This window comes from Homo sapiens, chromosome X (genome assembly GCF_000001405.40).
Source record: "Homo sapiens chromosome X, GRCh38.p14 Primary Assembly".
In the NCBI taxonomy this organism is placed as follows: domain Eukaryota; kingdom Metazoa; phylum Chordata; class Mammalia; order Primates; family Hominidae; genus Homo; species Homo sapiens.
The window spans coordinates 12,830,764-12,856,287 of NC_000023.11; the positions used below are offsets into that span (position 1 = coordinate 12,830,764).

Sequence of the window (25,524 nt, forward strand, 5' to 3'; positions counted from 1 at the left end):
ATTGTTTGCAAAGCCAATTCTGGTATACTTCTGCTGTTGAGCTTTTTTTTTCCCACATTTATTAGTTTCTTATGTTTCTCTTGTATTTTCCTGAGAGCCAATTTTATCCGCAATAAAATTCCCAAAGTCCTCGATGGAGGCATTTCAGAATCGGGGCAGGGGAGGCAGAAGGTGAGACAGATGTGAAGAACTGGAGGAGGGTGTTGGGGGTGGAGAAACGGGAGGGAGGTTGGACAAACTAGCCCAAGCACCAGCATTTCCCCGGGGCCAGACACTCCCCAGGGACAGATTCCCTGCTTTCACCTCCCAGCATGTTTCAAGGTTGTTCAGCCTCAACACTCTTGCCATTTGGGGCTGGCTCATTCTTTCCTGGGGGAGCAGCATCCCTAGCCTCCACCCACTAAATGCCGATAGCAACCCCCATCCCACATTTGTGACAACCAAAAGATGTCTCCAGACCTTGCCAATGTTCCTTGGGGGCAAAATCACCCCTGCTTGACAACCTGATTTATTTTAACCAAGACTTTCTTCCTCAATCTTCTTTCCTGAAGACTCAGGTCAGAGTTACAGAGGAGATTCATCCTGGCCCCTGGCCCAATCACAACTAAAAAAGCATTTTAGCACAAAGTGGATAAGACAACGGCAATCATACCTCACTTTAAAAAATTCAATGCTAGCGTTTTGGTACAAAATGAGGTTTACACCAAAATAATCACATTATCCTTGTTTTGTTGTTTTGTTTTGTTGTTTTGTTGTTGTTGTTGTTGTTGTTGTTTTTTCAGAGACAAATGTCTTGCTCTGTTGCCCAGGCTTGAGTGCAATGGTGTGTGTGGCACCATGCTTGGCTAACCTTTAAATATTTTTGTAGAGACAGAGTCTCGCTATGTTGCCTAGGTTGGTCTTGAACTCCTGGCCTCAAGTGATCCTCCTGCCTTAGTCTCCCAAAGCACTTGGGATTACAGGTGTGAGGCATGGCACCCAGCCACATTATCCTTTTGATGCAGGGCTACAAGCACTGGTTCCTATATCTGCCATGACCTGGACACAAGATTTTGAATCCTTCACTAAATTATTCCCTCAATTTTCTCTAAGAACAATTCAGCCTTAGAATAAGTCACAAGGATTTTGGTTTTTTAATCAAGAAATTAATATACTAGGCCTGGTGTGATGGCTCATACCTGTAATCCCAGCACTTTGGGAGGCCGAGGCAGGAGGATTGCTTGAGCTCAGGAGTTTGAGACCAGCCTGGCTAACGTGGCGAAACCCTGTCTCTACAAAAAATACAAAAACTAGCCAGGAGGCCGGGTGCAGTGGCTGATGCCTGTAATCACAGCAGTTTGGGAGGCCGAGGCAGGCAGATCACAAGGTCAGGAGATCAAGACCATCCTGCTAACACGGTGAAACCCCGTCTCTACTAAAAATACAAAAAATTAGCCTGGCGCGGTGGCGTGCGCCTGTAGTCCCAGCTACTCGGGAGGCTGAGGCAGGAGAATGGCGTGAACCCAGGAGGCAGAGATTGCAGTGAGCCGAGACTGCGCCACTGCACTCCAGCATGGGCGACAGAGTGAGACTCTGTCTCAAAAAAAAAAAAAAAAAAAAAAGCCAGGCATGGTGGTGCAGGCCTGTGGTCCCAGCTACTTGGGGGGTTTGGGGGTAGCATCGCTTGAGCCCAGGAGGTGGAGGTTGCAGTGAGCCAAGATCGCGCCACTGCACTCCAGCCTGGATGACAGAGTGAGACTCTGTCTCCAATAAAAAAAAAAAAAAAAAAGGAAGAAATTAATATACTAACAGTAACCTTGATGGAGATGATTGAAGTTTAGTCTGATTTTAACAGTGACCTCAAGAGAGCACTTTTTTTTTTTTTTTTTAGATGGAGTCTCGCTCTTGTCACCCAGGCTGGAGTGCAGTGGCACAATCTGGCTCACTGCAACCTCTGCTTCCCGGGTTCAGGTGATTCTCCTGTCTTAGCCTCCAGAGTAGCTGGGATTACAGGTGCCTACCACCACACCCAGGTAATTTTTTTTGTATTTTTGTAGAGATGGGGTTTCACCATATTGGCCAGGTCAGTGTCAAACTCCTGACCACAGATGATCTGCTGTCTTGGCCTCCCAAAATGCTGGGATTACGGATGTGAGCCACCTCACCCAGTCAAGAGAGCAGATCTTTTGATGAGCCATGCAGGTCTTGGGTTACCTGGCCCTTCAGTTATTTTTCATACTGCTGTGAGAAGCCAGAATGAAGAGGAATCAATATATCCAAGGTAATTTAACTCATATATATATATATACTTTAAGTTCTGGGACACATGTGCAGAACGTGCAGGTTTGTTACATAGGTATACACCTGCCATGGTGGTTTGCTGCACCCATCAACCTGTCATCTACATTAGGTATTTCTCCTAATGCTATCCCTCCTCTAGCCCCTCACACCCCGACAGGCCCCGGTGTGCGATGCTCCCCTCCCTGTGTCCATGTTTTCTCACTGTTCAGCTCCCACTTATGAGTGAGAACATGCGGTGTTTGGTTTTCTGTTCCTGTGTTAGTTTGCTGAGAATGATGGTTTCCAGTGTCATCCATGTCCCTGCAAAGGACATGAACTCATCCTTTTCTGTGGCTACATAGTATTCCATGGTGTATATGTGCCACATTTTCTTTATCCAGTCTATCATTGATGGGCATTTGGATTGTTTCCAAGTCTTTGCTATTGTGAATAGCACTGCAATAAACATATGTGTGTATATGTCTTTATAGTAGAATGATTTATAATCCTTTGGGTATATACCCAGTAATGGGATGGCTGGGTCAAATGGTATTTCAGGTTCTAGATCCTTGAGGAATTGCCACGCTGTCTTCCTCAATGGTTGAACTAATTTACACTCCCACCAACAGTGTAAAAGCTTTCCTATTTCTCCACATCCTCTCCAGCATCTGTTGTTTCCTGATTTTTTAATGATCACCATTCTAACTGGTGTGAAATGGTATCTCATTGTGGTTTTGATTTGCATTTCTCTAATGACCAGTGATGATGAGCTTTCTATGTTTCTTGGCCACATAAATGTCTTCTTTTGAGAAGTCTCTGTTCATATCCTTCACTCACTTTTTGATGGCGTTGTTTGTTTTTTTCTTGTAAATTTCTTTAAGTTCCTTGTAGATTCTGGAAAATAGCCCTTTGTCAGATGGACAGATTGCAAAAATTTTCTCCCATTCTGTAGGTTGCCTGTTCACTCTGATGGTAGTTTCTTTTGTTGTGCAGAAGCTCTTTAGTTTAATTAGATCATTTGTCAATTTTGGCTTCTGTTGCCATTGCTTTTGGTGTTTTAGTCATGAAGTCTTTGCCCGTGCCTGTGGCCTGAATGGTATTGCCTAGGTTTTCTTCTAGGATTTTTGTGGTTTTAGGTCTTACAGTTAAGTCTTTAATCCATCCTGAGTTCATTTTTGTATAAGTTGTAGGGAAGGGGTCCAGTTTCAGTTTTCTGCATATGGCTAGCCAGTTTTCCCAACACCATTTATTATATACAGAATCCTTTCCCCATTGCTTGTTTTTGTCAGGTTTGTCAAAGATCAGATGGTTGTAGATGTGTGGCATTATTTCTGAGGCCTCTGTTCTGTTCCATTGGTCTTTATATCTGTTTTGGTACCAGTACCATACTGTTTTGGTTACTGTAGCCTTGTAATATAGTTTGAAGTCAGTTAGCGTGATGCCTCCAGCTTTGTTCTTTTTGCTTAGGATTGACTTGGCTATATGGTATGTATTTTTGGTTCTATATGAAATTTAAAGTAGTTTTTTTTTCTAATTCTGAGAAGAAAGTCAATGGTAGCTTGATGGGTATGCATTGAATCCATAAATTACTTTGGGAAATACGGCCATTTTCAGGATATTGTTTTTTCCTATCCATGAGCATGGAATGTTCTTCCATTTGTTTGTGTCCTCTCTTATTTCCTTGCGCAGTGGTTTGTAGTTCTCCTTAAAGAGGTCCTTCACATCCCTTGTAAGTTGTATTCCCAGGTATTTTATTCTCTTTGTAGCAATTGTGAATGGGAGTTCACTCATGATTTGGCTCTCTGTTTGTCCATTATTGGTGTATAGGAATGCTTGTGATTTTTGCACATTGATTTTGTATCCTGAGACTTTGCTGAAGTTGCTTATCAGTTTAAGGAGATTGTGGGCTGAGATGATGCGGTCTTCTAAATATACAATCATGTCATCTGCAAACAGAGACAATTTGACTTCCTCTTTTCCTATTTGGATACCTTCTATTTCTTTCTCTTGCCTGATTGCCCTGGCCAGAACTTCCAATACTGTGTTGAATAGGAGTGGAGCGAGAGGGCATCCTTGTCTTGTGCCAGTTTTCAAAGGGAGTGCTTCCAGCTTTTGCCCATTCAGTATGATATTGGCTGTGGGTTTGTCATAAATAGCTCTTATTATTTTGAGATATGTTCCATCAATACCTAGTTTATTGAGAGTTTTTAGTATGAAAGGGTGTTGAATTTTATTGAAGGCCTTTTCTGCATCTATTGAGATAATCATGTGGTTTTTGTCATTGGTTCTGTTTATGTGATAGATTATGTTTATTGATTTGCATATGTTGAACCAGCCTTGCAGCCCAGAGATAAAGCCGACTTGATTGTGGTGGATAAGCTTTTTGATGTGCTGCTGGATTTGGTTTGCCAATATTTTATTAAGGATTTTCTCATTGATGTTCATCAGGGATATTGGCCTGAAATTTTCTTTCTTCATTGTGCCTCTGCCAGGTTTTGATATCAGGATGATGCTGGCCTCATAAAATGAGTTAGGAAGAAGTTCCTCTTTTTTTATTGCTTAGAATAGTTTCAGAAGGAATGGTACCAGCTCCTCTTTGTACCTCTGGTAGAATTCAGCTGTGAATACGTCTGGTCCTGTGCTTGTTTTGGTTGGTAGGCTATTAATTACTGCCTCCATTTCAGAACTTGTTATTGATCTATTCAGGGATTTGACTTTTTCCTGATTTAGTCTTGGGAGGGTGTATGTGTCCAGGAATTTATCCATTTCTTGTAGATTTTCTAGTTTATTTGAGTAGAGGTGATTTTAGTATTCTCTGATAATAGTTTGTATTTCTGTGGGATCAGTGGTAATAACCCCTTTATCATTTTGTATTGTGTCTATTTGATTCTTCTCTCTTTTCTCCTTTATTAGTCTGGCTAGTGGTCTATCTATTTTGTTAATGTTTTCAAAAAACCAGCTCCTGGATTCACTGATTTTTTGAAGGGTTTTTCATGCCTCTATCTTCTTTAGTTCTGCTCTGATTTTAGTTATTTCTTGTCTTCTGCTAGCTTTTGAATGTTTGCTCTCGCTTCTCTAGTTCTTTTTATTGTGATGTTAGGGGGTCGATTTTAGATCTGTCCCTGCTTTCTTTTGTGGGCATTTAGTGCTATAACTTTCCCTCTAAACACTGCGTTTGCTGTGTCCCAGAGATTCTGGTATGTTGTGTCTTTGTTCTCATTGGTTTCAAATAACTTATTTATTTCTGCCTTAATTTTGTTATTTATCCAGTAGTCATTCAGGAGCAGGTTGTTCAGTTTCCATGTAGTTGTGCAGTTTTGAGTGAGTTTTTAATCCTGAATTTTAATATGATTGCACTGTGGTCTGATAGACTGTTATGGTTTCCATTGTTTTGCATTTGCTGAGGAGTGTTTTACTTCCAATTATGTGGTCAATTTTAGAATAACTGTGATGTGGTGCTGAGAAGAATGTATATTCTGTTATTTGAGGTGGAGAGTTCTGTAGATGTCTATTAGTTGTGCTTGGTCCAGAGCTGAGTTCAAGTCCTGAATATCCTTGTTAATTTTCTGTCTCATTGATCTGTCTAATATTGACAGTGGGGTGTTAAAATCTCCCACTATTATTGTGTGGGAGTCTAAGTCTCCTTCTAGGTCTCTAAGAACTTGCTTTATGAATCTAGGTGCTCCTGTATTGGGTGCACATATATTTAGGATAATTAGCTCTTCTTGTTACATTGATCCCTTTACCATTATATAGTACCCCTCTTTGTCTTTTTTTAATCTTTCTTGGCTTAAAATCTGTTTTATCACAGACTAGGATTGCAACCCCTGCTGGGTTTTTTTTCTTTTTTTTTTTTTCTTTTTTTTTTAGATGGCGTTTTGCTCTTGTTGCCCAGGCTAGAGTGCAGTGGCATGATCTTGGCTCACCACAACCCCCACCTCCCAGGAGCAAGCAATTCTCCTGCCTCAGCCTCCCGAGTAGCTGGGATTACAGGCATGTGCCACCACGCCTTGCTAATTTTGTATTTTTAGTGGAGATGTGGTTTCTCCATGTTGGTCAGGCTAGTCTTGAACTCCCGACCTCAGGTGATCCCGCTGCCTCAGCCTCCCAAAGTACTGGGATTACAGGTGTGAGCCACCTCGCCTGACCAACACCTGTTTTTTTTTTTTTTTGCTTTCCATTTGCTTGGTAAATATTCCTCCATCCCTTCATTTTGAGCCTATGTGTGTCTTTGTACATGAGATGCATCTCCTGAATACAGCACACTGATGGGTCTTGACTCTTTATCCAATTTGCCAGTCTGTGTCTTTTAATTGGGGCATTTAGCCCATTTACATTTAAGGTGAATACTGTTATGTGTGAATTTGATCCTGTCATTATGATGCTTGCTGGTTATTTTGCCCATTAGTTGATGCAGTTTCTTCATAGTGTCGACGGTCTTTACAATTTGGTACGTTTTGCAGTGGCTGGTACCAGTTTTTCCTTTTGATATTTAGTTCTTCCTTCAGGAGCTCTTGTAAGGCAGGCCTGGTGGTGACAAAATGTCTCTCAGCTTTGTTTTTCTGTAAAGGATTTTATTTCTCCTTCGCTTATGAAGCTTAGTTTGGCTGGATATGAAATTCTGGGTTGAAAATTCCTTTTTTAAGAATGTTGAATATTGGCCTCTCTTCTGGCTTGTAGGGTTTCTGCGGAGAGATCTGCTGTTAGTCTGATGAGCTTCCCTTTGTGGGTAACCCGACCTTTTTCTTTGGCTGCCTTTGACATTTTTTCCTTCATTTCAACCTTGGTGAATCTGATGATTATGTGTCTTGGGGTTGCTCTTCTCGAGGAGTATCTTTGTGGTATTCTCTGTATTTCCTGAATTTCAATGTTGGCCCGTCTTGCTAGGTTGGGGAAGTTCTCCTGGATAATATCCTGAAGAGTGTTTTCCAACTTGGTTCCATTCTCCCCATCACTTCCAGATACACCAATGAAACATAGGTTTGGTCTTTTCACATAGTCCCATATTTCTTGGAGGCTTTATTTGTTCCTTTCATTCTTTTTTCTCTAATCTTGTCTTCACGTTTTATTTCATTAAGTTGATCTTCAATATCTGATATCCTTTCTTCCACTTGATCAATTCGGCTATTAATATTTGTGTATGCTTCACAAAGTTCTCGTGCTGTGTTTCTCAGCTCCATCAGATCATTTATGTTCTTCTCTAAACTGGTTATTCTAGTTAGCAATTCCTCTAACCTTTTTTCAAGGTTCTTAGCTTCCTTGCATTGAGTTAGAACATGCTCCTTTAGCTCTGAGGAGTTTGTTATTACCCACCTTTTGAAGCCTACTTCTGTCAATTGGTCAAACTCATTCTCCATTCAGTTTTGTTTCCTTGCTGGCGAGAAGTTGTGATCCTTTGGAGGAGAAGAGGCATTCTGGTTTTTGGAATTTTCAGCCTTTTTGCACTGGTTTTTCCTCATCTTTGTGGATTTATCTACCTTTGGTCTTTGATGTTGGTGACCTGCAGATGGGGTTTTTGTGTGGGCATCCTTTTTGTTGATGTTGATGTTATTGCTTTCTGTTTGTTAATTTTTCTTCTAACAGTCAGGCCTCTCTGCTTCAGGTCTGCTGGAGTTTGCCGAAGTCCACTCCAGACCCTGTTTGCCTGGGTATCCCCAGCGAAGGCTGTAGAATAGCAAAGATTACTGCCTGTTCCTGCCTCTGGAAGCTTCATCCCAGAGGGGCACTCACTGGATGCCAGCTGGAGCTCTCCTGTATGAGATGTCTGTCAACCCCTGCTGGGAGGTGTCTCCTAGTCAGGAGGCACGAGGGTCAGGGACCCACTTGAGTTGGCAGTCTGTCCCTTAGCAGAGCTCGAGCACTGTGCTGGGAGATCCACTGCTCTCTTCAGAGCTGGCAGGCAGGAACATTAAAATATGCTGAAGCTGTGCCCACAGCCGCCCCTTCCCCCAGGTGCTCTGTCCCAGGGAGATAGGAGTTTTATCTATAAGTCCCTGACTGGGGCTGCTGCCTTTCTTTCAGATGTGCCCTGCCCAGAGAGGAGGAATCCAGAGAGGCATTCTGGCTACAGTGGCTTTGCCAAGCTGCAGTGGGCTATGCCTAGTTCGAACCTCCTGGCAGCTTTGTTTACACTGTGAGGGGAAAACCACCTACTCAAGCCTCAGTAATGGCATACACTTCTTCCCCCACCAAGCTTGAGCATCCCAGGTCAACTTCAGACTGCTGCGCTGGCAGCAAGAATTTCAAGCCAGTGGATCTTAGCTTGCTGGGCTCTGTAGGGGTGGGATCCGCTGAGCTAGACCACTTGGCTCCCTGACTGCAGCCCCCTTTTCAGGGGAGTGAACAGTTCTGTCTCGCTGGTGTTCCAGGCGCCACTGGGGTATGAAAAAAAAAAACTCCTGCAGTTAGCTCAGTGTCTGCCCAAATGGCCAACCAGTTTTGTGCTTGAAACCCAGGGCCCTGGTCACATAGGCACCCAAAGGAATCTCCTGGTCTGTGGGTTGCAAAGACTGTGGGAAAAGTATAGTATCTGGGCTGGAATGCACTGTTCTTCATGGCACAGTCCCTCATGGCTTCCCTTGGCTAGGGGAGGGAGTTCCCCGACCCCTTGCACTTCCCAGGTGAGATGACACCCCACCCTGCTTCTGCTCACCCTCCGTGGGCTGCACCTACTATCTAACCAGTCCCAAAGAGATGAGCTGGGTACCTCTGTTGGAAATGCAGAAATCCCCCACCTTCTGCATTGATCTTGCTGGGAGCTGCAGACCGGAGCTGTTCCTATTTGGCCATCTTCCCAGCCACCTGGTAATTTAACTCTTATGGGCCAAAATGGCAAAAGTCATCTGTGGTCAAATCACAGAGCCCATTACGTCTGTCAAAGGTCATGGAATTGATAAGATTTTGGAGTTAGATGGAACATTCATGACTGAATGATTCCCATCTTATTTTACAGATGAGGAAACTAAGGCTCAAAGAGACTAAGTAACTGGCTTAGTAAGGTTACACAGTTCCCTAGAGGAAAAGCTGGGGGTAGAAAATGGGGCTTTTCGGCCAGGCGTGGTGGCTCCCGACTATAATCCCAGCACTTTGGGAGGTTGAGGTGGGTGGATCACTTGAGGTCAGGAGTTTGAGACCAGCCTGGCCAACATGGTAAAACCCCGTCTCTACTAAAAATACAAAAATTAGCCGGGCATGGTGGCACACACATGTAATTCCAGCTACTCCAGAGGCTGAGGCAGGAGAATCATTTGAACCAGGGAGGCAGAGATTGCAGTGTGCTGAGATTGAGCCAGTGCACTCTAGCCTGGGTGACAGAGAGAGACTCTGTCTCAAAATAAACAAACAAATGAACAACAACAACAACAACAAAAAGAAAATGGGGGCTTTTCTGTTCTTTAAGCAGAGATGTTTGCATTAACCCAGGCAACTTCAATGATTCTAATCACTAGTGCATAACAGTGAAGGAGCTTATTAAACCTCAGGGCAGTGAGGAAAAGCAAAAAATACGGTACGGTAACTTCCATCAGAACCTGAAATACTTGCATCCACTGATTTGGTTGTCCTTTGCCTTCCTCCAAAAACAAGGTCTTCATTTCACTCACTGTGTTTGCGTGGTCCTTTTTCAGGTCGTTATGCTAACATGAGAACCAAAATAACAACACTGGGTAATGGAGATTTTTTAAATAATGGTGATCTGTAAGGCAGTGGTTCTCAAAGTGAGGCCCTGGACTAGCAGCATCTGCATCACCAAAAACCTCAGGAGAAAGTTGAAAACCACCCTGATAGTTAAGTCCATGCTAGTTGCTAATGTAATGGTCCCTGTCTGTTGCGTAAGGAAGGATCATTTCCTTCTCTGATAAAAATGGCTCTGGCTCTGGTAAGTTATACTCAAATTTAATTATATTTCATGGTAAATCTTGTCAGCTGAAAAGTTATGCCAACTTGGTGGACAATGGCAGAGAATACAAGTTTCTGACTTACCTCAAGGTTTGAATGTACCTAGAGCAGAAGTTTCTGATATTTGTACTCACTTAACCAACAACTATAATTGCCGGGCACTGTTGTGGTTGCTTGGGATATTTCAGTTGTTACTAATGCTTTGGTTTTATGGAAAGACAAAGACAATGCTGGTCTTCTAGCAGCACAAAGTATAAGGTAATGTTCCTATATTATTCATAGTCCATTGGCAAAAATGCAGTTATTATCAAAAAACATTAAAATTAAAAGTATTTAAGTCATTTGTAATAAGGGATTCAACAAACACTCAATATCTAAGTAATTTCCAATGATTTCAGTAATATGAGTATTGGCTTTAAAAAGTAATGTTTTAGAGCCAAGTGCAGTGGCTCACGCCTGTAATTCCAGCACTTTGGGAGTCAGAGGCAGGAGGATCGCTTGAGTCTTAGAGTTCAAGACCTGCCTAGGCAACATGGCGAGACCCTGTCTCTACAAAAAATTTAAAAATTAGCTGGGCATGGTGGTGCATGCCTGTGGTCCCAGCTACTCAGGAGGCTGAGATGAGAGGATTGCTTGAGCCTGGAATATCAAGGCTGCAGTGAGCCATGATCACACCACTGCAATCCAGCCTGGGTGACAGAGTGAGACTTTGTCTCAAAAAAAACAAAACAAAAAAACAAATAGAGAATAAAAGGTTTAGAAACAGATACAACTGGCTCTAGGAAAACAACTCAACTGTTGAGAGCAATAAGTCATATGTACTGACAGCCTATCAAATTGAGATGTTAATAAGAAATCGGCCAACTTTTTTTTTTTTTTTTTTTTTTTAACAGAAGGTAAGGAGAATGCAGGTTAACCAGTGGAATTTCAGGTCAGTTCAGTCAAGAGAGTTTTGACTATGCCTGTTGGTCTCAAACTTGGTTATCAATTGGAATCACATGAGCAGCCTTGAAAATTCCAAATACCCAGACTACACCCAAGAGTAGTTAAATCAGAAGCTTTGGTGTCAACATAGTAATCAGGAACTTTGTAATGATCCCATTCCGGTGTGCAGCCGAAATTGAGAAGCTCCAGTTTAAGGTCATGGGCCATGAAGCTTTCAAGTTCTGCCACCTCCTCTCAACATTAATGTGTATCAGCTTTGGGAAACTACATGTAGAAGGTATGAAGAATGGCAGAAAGTATATAAAGGGACAAATCACCACCATTAATTCCACAAATCAGTACAGGTCAGTAGCTACAGTTTGGAGAATTTAAAACATTTTCCTCTTTAGTAAGAATTCCTACAAAGAAATGCCCATTTAAAATCCTGATCTATTTCAATTGCTTGCCAGAAATGTTGTACCAATTTGCACTCTCACCCAAAGTCCCTAAATCCTGACAAACACTGTGAATTGATCATCTTTTTCCTGTTTTCCAATCTGATAATTTAACAGTACTGGGGTATTGTTTTATTTGCATTTCTGTAAGAACTTTATTTTATTGACTACAAATATTTTACTTTCCAGGATCTATAAAGCAATATAGCAATATAAATAATATTATATAAGCATACTCAAACCTTGTTAACCTATCACCGATTATTGCAATACTATTTTTAGATTTTTTCTTCAATTGCAAAAATACTTTATTACTGATTAAAAATAGTATATATGCACTGATAAAATTTTGATAAATGCAAAGACAAGTAATGAAAATCATCAGCAATAACAATGGCTAAAAGTGGAGTATACATACAAACAAATACTTGTTTTGAAACTTTTTTTGGTTTACTCTTAGCATAGTATCTTTTTCCATGTCATGTAGTATTCTAATGTGTGACTTTTGGAGGCTGCATAGTATTCTAAAGTAATATGTTTTGAATCCAATATTCTTCAAAAAAATATGGAACAACAGATCTTGGCTTAAATATGAATTTTTTTACATTTCTGTTGTATATACTACAAGTGGTGGATTGCTACTTTGGTGGTTCCCGATGAACCATAACTCCTGGTATTCACACTTCTGTGGTGTATCCTTCCATATTAACCTCGGGCTCGGCCAATAAATAGGACATTAGCAAGAATGATGTAAGCAAATGCTTGATAAGTGCTGGCACACTGGAGCTTATGTCTCTTGAAATGCTCACTCTCAGGATCAAACCACCATGAAAAGAAACCCAAGCTAGCCACATGGGGAAGAAAAGAGGAAAAGATCACTCCCTCTCAACCTTCCCCACTGGGGAACTAGACATGTGAACAAAGCCATCTGATTACAACCTCACAGGAGACCCCAACTGAAACCAACCAAAGAACAGCCCAGCAGAGCCCCAGCCAACCAAAGAATCATGAACAAATAAAGTGGTTACTGTTTTAAGCAGATATGTTTTGGGTTGGTTTGTTACACAGCAAGAGATAAGCAAAATGTGACAGCATCTAATATGAATACCTGCTTTAGATATGAAAAAGAAACCCTTAGATATGAAAAAGAAACCCTTAGGATCATAAACTCAAGAAGAATTTTTTGTTTTTATCTAGTCAGATTGCTGAGGTCCTGGCTGTTTAGATGACTTACAGAAAGAACTTGGGTAGTAGAGTCAAGATATGAATAGTAACCCAGTTTTATTACTAGAGATTTGACTTCGTTGAGCATCAGCTTTCTTGTGGGCGAGTTAGGTTTTAACAATAGCTGCCTTGCAGGTGTTTTATTTTTAAGCATTATGAATGATGGTGCCTCCAGTTCCATAACAAGATGAAGGCATATGCAGATGTGAGTTAACATTTTCATTGGCTGGCCATGTATGTTGAATCCCAAACAAGTGGTCTTCACTACACCTCACCACTCACAAATCTACTTATGAGTCTCAGATGGTGAGCTAGATGGTCAGTAATACCCACCTCAGGAAAACTGCTTCTGAGTTTACAAGACAGCAGGCGGAACAGCTCAAAGACCAATGCATGCATAAATAGTCTTTCCTTTTTTTCACCAGGTCAACTACTCGATTATTTGCACTGGGGGCCTTTTTTCAAAGCATCTGACCTTTTGGACTCGTCTGGTGAAATCTAGTATGTACTTAGGACCAGCCTTCAACACAAAGGAAGGTTTTTGTTACATTCGTTTGCATATCCTGTCAAGGATATCTTCAGAACACTTTCATTTCACAGTAAAATGAAACTTACGGAAGAACTAAGCAGTGAAGTGCTTCATACTTTCATTTAAAAGGGGAATGAGAAACAAAAGACAAGGTTAATTATGACACCGGGGCTTTACAATGCTAAAAATATCCTATATACAAAGGGATATGTAGGCTGTGTTCTTTTTCCATGTCATTACAAAGAACAGGCTCAAGGTATCTGCAAATTTCTAATAAAAATATTATTACTTGAAAAATGTCCATGGTTGTATCTAACTGAAGGGATTAAAACTTTTAGACTTGTTATACAAATACCATGATACTTGTCATCAAAGTCCTCCTTTTCATCAAGCAGACCCTGACTTACAGCATCTGAGAGTGGAAAAAACTAGCATGAACCGTAAGGCAGTGGGATTCATACCTACCTCTCACTCACACGTTCATCCAAACCAAGCAAGTTGCATAAAGCAACCTGAGACTTTATACTTCCACATGCTGGCAACACAGCATTAACTAGACTCGGGCAACTTGTTTAAGGGGTTTATTTAGGTTCCTATCAGTAAAGAGGTGTTTTTCCAGCTTTGGGAGAATATGTATGATGCCAAGTTTTTTTTTTTTTAAGTTTAAATACTTTTATAAGTTTAATGTTGGCATTGGATGTTTACATATTAACTGGTACAATTTACATCGGTTTTATACTTACCTATTTTTGCAAAGATGTCATGTACACAAAGATACATATTCAATAACTGAGAAACAAGTGAAACTTCTGATCTATACTTTCAGGTTTGTTTCATAAAGATATTTCTGATAAGGATTATCAGCATACAAGTTTCACCTCTTCCAGAAGGACACTGTCATTTTATCTAAGAGTTTACTCTGGGTTTTATTGCAGAACACAAATTCCCTCAATTGCTTTTTTCTTGCAGGTGTCTTTTTCCAGAATTTTTTCTTATAACCAGCCTTTCTCCTCACCCAAAGGCCAGAATGAAGTCGAAAAAACCTATAGATAACAGCTTTCACAGTTGTTCTCTTGCCTTTTTGTGTACTGACGTATATTACAGTTCTGACTGGCAGCTTCAGGACACTTGGAAGCAAGGGGGCCACTCTGTTGGGGATCACTGCAGTATGCCCACATGTCAGGTTTCTGACAGATGTGATCAGCCTGGGAGTGGAGGAAACAAATGGTGTCTGAATATGACTAAAACGTCCAGTAGACAATGCAGAAATAAGAGAGGCATTCCTGGCACAGTTTCGGTGGGCTGGAGATGCAAAAATATTCAGGAGCCATAGATTCCTGAAGCTGCTCTCATCGCACCAGCAAAGGCAGAGGCAGCCATCTTGCCAGCCTGCTATGATGCCAAGTTTCTTTCTTTTTTTTTTTTTTTTTTTTGAGATGAAGTCTCGCTCTTGTCCCCCAGGCTGGAGTGCAATGGTGTGATCTCGGCTCATGGCAACATCCACCTCCCGGGTTCAAGCAATTCTCCTGCCTCAGCCTCCCGAGTAGCTGTGATTACAGGTGCCTGCCAACACACCCAGCTAATTTTCGTATTTTTAGTAGAGACGGGGTTTCACCATGTTGTACAGGCTGGTCTCGAACTCCTGACCTTAGGTGATCCGCCCGCCTTGGCCTCCCAAAGTGCTGGGATTACAGGCGTGAGCCACCACGCCCAGCCAATGCCAAGTTTCTATTGAACCACTTTGATGTCTATGTCTGAGTCAAATGGCAGAGCCGGGACTCAAATCTAGGTCTTCTGTCCACGACCATATCTTTGTTCAATCACCACTCTGGATGCTGATCAAGTCTGACCTTCCTTTTCATTTCAGAGCATTCACCCCAGGAATCCTTCAATGTTTAAATCTCTAGATTAAAATATGGTACTGCTGGGCATGGTGGCTCACTCCTATAATCTAAAAAAATTGGGAGGCTAAGGTGGGAGGATTGCTTGAGACCAGGAGATCAAGGCCAGTGTGGAAAACATAGTGAGACCCTGTTTCTAAAAATAAATAAGTAAAATAGAATAAAATATGGCACTAAACTAGGGTGGCCAGATAAAATACAGGACACCCAATTAAATTTGAATTTCAGATAATAAATAATTTTTTAGTAGAAGCATGTCCCGATTTGCTAAATTTGGCAACCCTACACTAAACCTTACCTACCCACCAAGGGCTGTTCCCAGTCCTCCTCATTTCCACCTAAAAAGAAAGGAGAAATACAACAAGACCTAGAAAACAAAGTGTGAGTTGCCCCAGCCAGTGAGAGGCCAGTTCTCAAAAGATAAAGAGAAGAACTGTATCCTCTCCATCCAGTGATCTCTCTTGAGCTAATTTACAGATGGGGGACTAGACCAATAACGTAGGATCTTCTGTGCCATCACTCAGACTGGGGTAGTTCACTGGAGCCACAGCTAACTCTTCAGAAGAAGATCTTTCGGAGGCCCAAGGCTATTTATCGCACTAGTGCTTGCAATACCAAAGATCAGAAACCACCCAAACGTCCGTTAGAGAAATGGTTAAGTAAATTGTGAAACTTCTAGAAAATGGGATGTTTTCCAGCTATGAGAAAAAAAAAATGCAGATGCTCCTGAGATAAAGGTATAGAAGGAACTGCAAATGAAAAAAACAAGAGAGTAAGAGAGTATATGCTAACGAAGTATGACAAAGGCAGGGCCAGAAGAATATGTTTTTATTTGCTAGTATGCCTAAAGAAACTCTGGAAAGATAAGCAAGGAACTAATAAGAATGGTTTCTTGTGGGGATGGGTGTGGGATTGGGTGGATGGTCTACAAGAAGAGCAGAAAAGTTTTTACTATGTATCTACCTATGTATTTATGTATGTATGTATATATGTATGTATATGCATGGATGTATGTATAGATACATTTATCTGTACAGAAAAGAGTTAACATGGTAGCCAGTTGCCATGGCTCAAGCCTATAATTCCAGCACTTTGAGAGGCCAAGGGTGGATCGCCTGAGGTCAGGAGTTCGAGACCAGCCTGGACAACATGATGAAACCCCATCTCTACTAAAAATACAAAAAATTAACCAGGCATGGTGGGGGGCGCCTGTAATCCCAGCTACTCGGGAGGCTGAGGTAGGAGAATCACTTGAACCCAGGAGGCGGAGGTTGCAATGAGCCGAGATTGCGCCATTGCACTCCAGCCTGGGCAACAACAGTGAAACTCGATCTCAAAAACAAAAAACCAAGAAACATGGCAGGCCTGAGACTGCTCTCCTTAGAAAGGCCTGCTTGTAAGGTTGGCCTTTGGCTCATGTCTGGGAACTTGGATTTCAGGGTGGTTCCCACCATTCCCAGAACTAAGAAGAGTGGCTCACTGCTCTTACACTGTTTGTACAAATAATATGGTTTTTGCTGCACACCTGCTTTCCTATTGGGAGGCTGGAATTTTGGTATGTGCTGGGCAGAGTGTGCCTACATGACCAGCCCCGAGTAAACACCCTGGGCACTGAATCTCTAACGAGCCTCCCTGGTAGACAGCAGTTGGCATGTGTTTTCTCAATTTGTTGCAGAAGGAATCAAGTACATCCATGTGACTAAAGTCGGAGGGGATGCTTGGAAGGTTGGGCCTGGTTTCTTCTGGGCATCACCTCATGCACCATTGTCCTTTGCTGCTTTTGGTTCGTATCTTTTCACTGCAATAAATCATAGCTGTGACCATACTTTATTGAGTTCTGCGACTCCTAGTGGATCACGAAGCCTGGGGTGGCGGAGTCTTGGGGACCTCCGACACAGTACACAGTCTCTGTCTCTCTCTCTCTCTCTCTGTCCCACACACCCCATATCTTTCTATTCAGCTCTATGTAAGAATTCTGTACCACACAAATATGTATTAAAATGAAATAAAAAATAAAAAAGGCCTTTGCTTTATATTTGCCTAACCAAAAGCTCCATTCAATCTGCTTTTCTTTCCTTCTTTGTTTCCTTCCTTCTTTTCTTCTTTCTTTTCTCCTGTCCTTCATTCTTTCCTTTCCTTCCTTTCTGCCGGCCTGCCTTGTCTCCCTCCCTCCCCACCCTTTCTTTCCTTCTCTCTTTCTTTCCTTCACTCTCTCCCTTTCTTCCTTTGTTTCTCTGTCTCTAGTTTTCCATTTACTACGTAGAAGTTCTTACCATATGACTATGTATTTTCCAGCAAAATTGAAGAAAAAGTTAAAAAGCTATTGCCCTATATTTGCCAACTAAAAGCCCCATTCAAAATGTCTCAAGGGGAGAGAGAGAAGAAAAGCAAAAGAAACAAAGAATACAACTAACTTCACTGCCTCACTCTCTATTAAGGAGACAGAAAATTCTCATAGCTTTTAAACAACAGTGTCAGGTTTGGTGTGTTTTTCTGTTGTTCAGCTTTAACACAGCACTGTTTCAAAACCTTAAGGCTTTGTCCTAGAAGAAAATGTTCCTGTTTGAACATATAAAACAATCCAGCATATAACTAGAAATACAGGTCTGCCAATCATGGTAACACTTTTGTGACAAAACTTAAAGTTATCTTTGGCGGTGATATACATTTTTAAGAAGTTATTACATATGCAAAGATTGTAGAGAAATTACAGAGACACAATCAAACTCACTATGTAAACACTGAGTAGTTCTTGAATCAGAAAGAAAATAAAGCTATAAAAGATATTTTGGGGACAAATTGAAAAAATGTGAATACAGAATCTATATGAGATATTACAAATTATTAGTTTTTAAATGTTACTTTAAGTTCTGGGATACATGTGCAGAATGTGCAGGTTTGTTACATGGGTATACATGTGCCATCGTGGTTTACCGCACCTATCAACCCGACATCTAGGTTTTAAGCCCCACATGTATTAGGTATTTGTCCTAATGTTGTCTCTCCCCTTGCTCCCCACCCCCTGATAGGCCCGAGTGTGTGATGTTCCCCTCCCTGTGTCCATGTGTTCTTATTGTTCAACTCGCACTTATGAGTGAGAACATGCGGTGTTTGGTTTTCTGTTCCTGTGTTAGTTTGCTGAGAATGATGGTTTCCGGCTTCATCCATGTCCCTACAAAGGACATGAACTCATTCTTTTTTAAGGCTGCATAGTATTCCATGGTGTATATGTGCCACATTTTCTTTATCCAGTCTATTATTGATGGGCTTTTGGATTGGTTCCAAGTCTTTGCATTTGTGAATAGTGCTGCAATAAACATACGTGTGCATGTGTCTTTATAGTAGAATGATTTATAATCCTTTGGGTATATACCAGTAATGGGATGGCTGGGTCAAATGGTATTTCTGGTTCTAGATCCTTGAGGAATTGCCACGCTGTCTTCCTCAATGGTTGAACTAGCTTACACGCCCGCCAATAGTGTAAAAGTATTCCTATTTCTCCACATCCTTTCCAGCATCTATTGTTTCCTGACTTTTTAATGATTGCCATTCTAAATGGCGTGAGATGGTATCTCATTGTGGTTTTGATTTGCAATTCTCTAATGACCAGTGATGATGAGCTTTTTTTTCATGTTTCTTTGTTGCATAAATGTCTTCTTTTGAGAAGTGTCTGTTCATATCTTTCACTCACTTTCTGATGGGGTTGTTTGTTTTTTTCTTATAAGTTTCTTTGAGTTCTTTGTAGATTCTGGATATTAGCCGTTTGTCAGATGAGTAGATTGCAAAAATTTTCTCCCATTCTGTAGGTTGCCTGTTCACTCTGATGATAGTTTCTTTTGTTGTGCAGAAGCTCTTTAGTTTAATTAGATCCCATTTGTCAATTTTGGCTTTTGTTGCCATTGCTTTTGGTGTTTTAGTCATGAAGTCTTTGCCCACGCCTATGTCCAGAATGGTATTGCCTAAGTTTTCTTCTAGGGTTTTTATGGTTTTAGGTTTTATATTTAAGTCTTTAATCCATCTTTAGTTAATTTTTGAATAAGGTGTAAGGAAAGGGTCCAGTTTCCATTTTCTGCATACAGCTAGCCAGTTTTCCCAGCACCATTTATTAAATAGGGAATCCTTTCCCCATTGCTTGTTTTTGTCAGGTTTGTCAAAGATCAGATGGTTGTAGATGTGTCGTGTTATCTCTGAGGGCTCTGTTCTGTTCCATTGGTCTATATCTCTGTTTTGGTACCAGTATCATGCTGTTTTGGTTACTGCAGCCTTGTAGTATCGTTTGAAGTCAGGTAGTGTGTAATGCCTCCAGCTTTGCTCTTTTTGCTTAGGATTGTCTTGGCTATATGGGCTCATTTTTTATTCCATATGAAATTTAAAGTAGCTTTTTCTAATTCTGAGAAGAAAGTCAATGGTATCTTGATGGGGATGGCATTGAATCTATAAATTACTTTTGGCAGTATGTCCATTTTCACGACATTGGTTGTTCCTATCCATGAGCATGGAATGTTCTTCCATTTGTTTGTGTCCTCTCTTATTTCCTTGAGCAGTTGTTTGTAGTTCTCCTTGAAGAGGTCCTTCACGTCCCTTGTAAGTTGGATTCCTAGGTATTTTGTTCTCTTTGTAGCAATTGTGAACGGGAGTTCACTAGATTTGGCTCTCTGTTTGTCTGTTATTGGTGTATAGGAATGCTTGTGATTTTTGCACATTGATTTTGTATTCTGAGAATTTGCTGAAGTTGGTTATCAGCTTAAGGAGTTTTTGGGCTGAGATGATGGGGTTTTCTAAGTATACAATCATGTCATCTGCAAACAGAGACAATTTGACTTCCTCTCTTCCTATTTGAATATGCTTTATTTCTTTCTCTTGCCTGATTACCCTGGCCGGAACTTCCAATACTATGTTGAACCTTGTCTTGTGCCGGTTTCCAAAGGGAATGCTTCCAGCTTTTTCCCATTCCGTATGATATTGGCTATGGGTCTGCCATAAATAGCTCTTATTATTTTGAGATATGTTCCATCAATACCTAGTTTATTGAGAGTTTTTAGCATGAAGGGATGTTGAATTTTATTGAAGGCCTTTTCTGCATCTATTGAGATAATCATGTGGTTTTTGTCATTGGTTTTGTTTATGTGATGGATTACGTTTATTGATTTGCATTTGTTGAACAAGCCTTGCATCCCAAGGATGAAGCTGACTTGATTATGGTGGATAAGCTTTTTGATGTGCTGCTGGATTCAGTTTGCCAGTATTTTACTGAGGATTTTTGCATTGATGTTCATCAGGGATATTGGCCTGAAATTTTCTTTTTTTGTTGTGTCACTGCCAGGTTTTGGTATCAGGACAATGGTGGCCTCATAAAATGAGTTAGGGAGGAGTCTCTCTTTTTCTATTGTTTGGAATAGTTTCAGAAGGAATGGTACCAGCTCCTCTTTGTACCTCTGGTAGAATTCGGCTGTGAATACATCTGGTCCTGTGCTTTTTTTGGTTGGTAGGCTATTAATTACTGCCTCAACTTCAGAACTTGTTATTGATCTATTCAGGGATTTGACTTCTTCCTGGTTTAGTCTTGGGAGAGTTTGTGTGTCCATTAATTTTTCCATTTCTTCTAGATTTTCCAGTTTATTTCTGTAGAGGTATTGATTGTAGTCTCTGATGGTAGTTTGTATTTCTGTGGGATCAGTGGTGATATCCCTTTTATCATTTTTTATTGTGTCTATTTGATTCTTCTCTCTTTTCTTCTTTATTAGTCTAGCTAGTGGTCTATCTATTTTGTTAATCTTTTCAAAAATCCAGCTCCTGGATTCATTGATTTTTTGAAGGGATTTTTGTGTCTCTATCTCCTTCAGTTCTGCTCTGATCTTATTTCTTGTCTTCTGCTAGCTTTTGAATTTGTTTGCTCTTGCTTCTCTAGCTAATTGTGATGTTAGGGTGTCGATATCAGATCTTTTTAACTTTCTGATATGGGAATTTAGTGCTATAAATTTCCCTCTTAATACTGCTTTAGCTGTGTCCCAGGGATTCTGGTACATTGTATCTTTGTTCTCCTTGGTTTCAAAGAACTTATTTATTTCTGCTTTAATTTCATTATTTACCCAGTAGTCATTCAGGAGCAGGTTGTTCAGTTTCCATGTAGTTGTGCGGTGTTCAGTGAGTTTCTTAATCCTGAGTTCTAATTTGATTGCACTGTGGTCTGAGAGACTGTTTGTTGTGATTTCCATTATTTTGCATTTGCTGAGGAGTGTTTTACGTCCAATTATGTGGTCATTTTTAGAATAACTGCGATGTGCTCCTGAGAAGAATGTATATTCTGTTGATTTGGGGTGGAGAGTTCTGTAGATGTCTATTAGGTTCGCTTGGTCGAGAGCTGAATTCAAGTCCTGGATATTCTTGTTAATTTTCTGTCTCGTTGATCTGTCTAATATTGACAGTGGGGTGTTAAAGTCTCTCACTATTATTGTGTGGGAGTCTAAGTCTCTTTGTAGGTCTCTAAGAACTTGTTTTATGAATCTGTGTGCTCCTGTATTGGGTGCATATATATTTAGGACAGTTAGCTCTTCTTGTTTTATTGATCCCTTTACCATTATGTAATACCCTTCTTCGTCTATTTTCATCTTTGTTGGTTTAAAGTCTGTTTTATCAGAGACTAGGATTGCAACCCCCCCCCCTTTTTTTTCTTTCCATTTGCTTGGTAAATATTCCTCCATCACTTTCTTTTGAGCCTATGTGTGTTTTTGCACGTGAGATGGGTCTCCTGAATACAGCATACCAATAATGGGTCTTGACTCTATCCAATTTGCCTGTCCATGTCTTTTAATTGGGGCATTTAGCCTATTTACATTTAAGGTTAATATTATGTGTGAATCTGATCCTGTCATTATGATGATAGCTGGTTATTTTGCACATTAATTGATTCAGTTTCTTCATAGTGTCATTGGTCTTCATATTTTGGTGTGTTTTTGCAGTGGCTGGTACTGGTTTTTCTTTACCTATTTAGTGCTTCCTTTGGGAGCTCCTGTAAGGCAGGTCTGGTGGTGACAAAACACCTCAGCATTTGCTTTTCTGGAAAGGATTTTATTTCTTTTTTGCTTATGAAGCTTCATTTGGCTGGATATGAAATTCTGGGTTGGAAATTCTTTTCTTTATGAATGTTGAATATTAGCCCCCACTCTCTTCTGGCTTGTAGGGTTTCTGCAGAGAGATCCACTGTTAGTCTGATGGGCTTCCCTTTGTAGGTAACCTGACCTTTCTCTCTGGCTGCCCTTAATATTTTTTCTTTCTTTTCAACCTTGGAGAATCTGATGATCATGTGTCTTGGGGTTGCTCTTCTCGAGGAGTATCTTAGTGATGTTCTCTGTTTTTCCTTAATTTGAATGTTGGCCTGTCTTGCTAGGTTGGGGAAGTTCTGCTGGATAATATCCTGAAGTGTGTTTTCCAACTTGTTTCCATTATCCCTGTCACTTTTAGCTACACCAATCAATCGTAGGTTTGGTCTTTTCACATAGTCCCATATTTCTTGGAGGCTTTGATCCTTCCTTTTCATTCTTTTTCTCTAATCTTGTCTTCACGCCCTATATTTGTAAGTTGATCTTCAATCTCTGATATCCTTTCTTCTGCTTGATTGATTCACCTATTGATACTTGCGTATGCTTCACGACATTCTCGTGCTGTGTTTTTCAGCTCCATCGGGTCATTTATGTTCTTCTCTAAACTGGTTATTCTAGTTAGCAGTTCCTGTAACCTTTTATCAAGGTTCTTATCTTCCTTGCATTGGGTAGAACATGTTCCTTTAGCTCAGAGGAGTTTATTATTACCCACCTTCTGAAGCCTACTTCTGTCAATTTGTCAATCTCATTCTCCGTCCAGTTTTGTGTCCTTGCTGGAGAGGAGTTGTGATCATTTGGAAGAGAAAAGGCACTCTGCTTTTTGGAATTTTCAGCATTTTTGCACTTGTTTTTTCTCATCTTCATGGATTTATCTGCCTTTGATCTTTGATGCTGATCACCTTTGGATGGGGTTTTTGTGTGGAGGTCCTTTATGTTGATGTTGATGTTATTGCTTTCTGTTAGTTTTTCTAATAGGTCCCTCTTCTGCAGGTCTGCTGCAGTTTGCTGGAGGTCTACTCCAGACCCTGTTTGCCTGGGTATCACCAGTGGAGGCCTGCTCCTTCTCCTGGAAGCTTTGTCCCAGAGGGGCACTGGCCCGATGCCAGCTGGAGCTCTCCTGTATGAGGTGTCTGTTGACCTCTGTTGGGAGGTCTCTCCCAGTCAGGAGGCACAGGAGTCAGGGACCCACTTGAGGAGGCAGTCTGTCCCTTAGCAGAGTTCAAGTGCTGTGCTGGGGGGAATCCTCCACGTCAGGATCAGCTGCTCTTTTCAGAGCTGGCAGGCAGGAAAGTTTAAGTCTGCTGAACTACACCCACAGCTGCCTTTTCCCCCAGGTGCCCTGTCCCAGGGAGATGGAAGTTTTATCTGTAATTCCCTGACTGGGGCTGCTGCCTTTCTTTCAGAGATGCCCTGCCCAGTGAGGAGGAATCTAGAGAAGCAGTCAGGCCACAGCCGCTTTGCCATGCTGTGGTGAATTCTGCCCAGTCTGAACCTCCCAGCCTCCTTAGCACTGTCAGGGGAAAACTGCCTACTAAAGCCTTAGTAATGGTGGATGCCCCTCCCCCCACCAAGCTCGATTGTCCCAGGTCCATTTCAGACTGCTGTGCCGGCAGTGAGAATTTCAAGCCAGTGGCTCTTTGCCTGCTGGGCTCTGTAGGAGTGGGACCCACTGAGCCCGACCACTTGGCTCCCTGGCTTCAGCCCCCTCCAGGAGAGTGAAAGGTTCTGTCTTGCTGGGGTTCCAGGTGCCACTGGGGTACAAAAAATAACTCCTGCAGCTAGCTCTGTGTCTGCCCAAACAGCCACCCAGTTTTGTGCTTGAAACCCAGGGCCCTGGTGGTGTAGGCACACAAGGGAATCTCCTGATCCGCGACTGCAAAAACGATGGGAAAAACGCAGTAGCTGGGCTGGGTAGCACAGTCCCTCATGGCTTCCCTTGGCTGGGGGAGGGAGATCCCTTGGCTCCTTGTACTTTCCAGGTGAGGTGATGACCCACCTTGCTTCTGCTCACCCTCTGTGGGCTGCACCCACTGCCTAACCAGTCCCAGTGAGATGAACTTGGTACCTCAGTTGGAAATGCAGAAATCACCTGCCTTCTCCGTTGGTCTCCCTGGGAGCTGGAGACCGGAGCTGTTCCTATTCAGCCACCTTGCCAGATTGGCCAATATTACAAATTATGAATTCTCTTAGGTGTCATCCTTATTTCAGGAGATACAGGATTAAGTGTTTAGGGTTAAAATGTCGTGTTGTCTGCAACATTTTAATGATTAGGGAAATAAATACATTATATACACATACAAAAAAGTAAAACCAATGTGGCTCACTATCAACAATTGTTGAATTCAGACAGCTATATGGGCTGCATTGTGCAATTGTTTCAATTTTTCAATATATCTGAAAATTTTTTAAGTAAAAAGTTGGGAAGAAAAAAGATTTTCTTTTAAAAACTAGTATATTAATATAAATGAATTCAAGTAGAATGATATAATCAGTTATTAGAAAATCAATTACCACTCAGCTATTGAATCCACCATACTGAGTTAAGAAGAACTTAGTATCTTTTGAATAAGAAAACATAGGCTTTATTGATGCTTGACTACTAGACAAGTTGCAACTCCTAGTAAATTCAACCAGCTAGTGACTGTAATTAGATGACTGATCACGTCAATCAATTAATCTGCCTAATGATCGACCTCTGAAAATTGGCCTAATTAATTGTTCTTATTTTCATGATCACTTTCATTTTCATCATCATAAAGAGTGATCTCTTAAGTACCTAGAATGGATCCTGAGGACAACACATTCTTAACTCAAGGGGTCTGCAATATCAGTGTGGGAACTAGGAGATATGAATGAAACATAAATAACCAGGCTGAGTGTGGTGGCTTGTGTCTATAATCCCAGCACTTTGGGAGGCTGAGGTGGGTGGATCACCTGGGGTCAGGAGTTTGAGAACAGCCTAGCCAACATAGTGAAACCCCATCTCTAGTAAAAATACAAAAATAAGCTAGGTGTGGTGGTGTGCACCTGTAGTCCCAGATACTCAGGAGGCTGAGGCACGAGAATTGCTTGAATCTGGGAGGTGGAGGTTGCAGCAAGCCAAGATGACACCACTACACTCCAGTCTGGGGACAGAGCGAGACTCTGGCCCCAAACAAACAAACAAACAAACAACCATAAATAACCACGCAAGAAAGCATAATATATATGCTAAATTCATAATTTCATAATCTCTT

General features: G+C 41.2%; 1 pseudogene, besides 1 other annotated feature; it reads right to left on the bottom strand.

Moving 5' to 3' along the window:
* Positions 13,233–13,552: an enhancer, noted in NCBI's record as "active region_29412". NCBI's record gives its function as "activates an Ori minimal core promoter by ATAC-STARR-seq in GM12878 lymphoblastoid cells {active_cell/tissue: GM12878}" and the evidence as "EXISTENCE:reporter gene assay evidence [ECO:0000049][PMID:35858748]".
* Positions 14,154–14,670, bottom strand: MRPL35P4 (mitochondrial ribosomal protein L35 pseudogene 4; annotated as a pseudogene).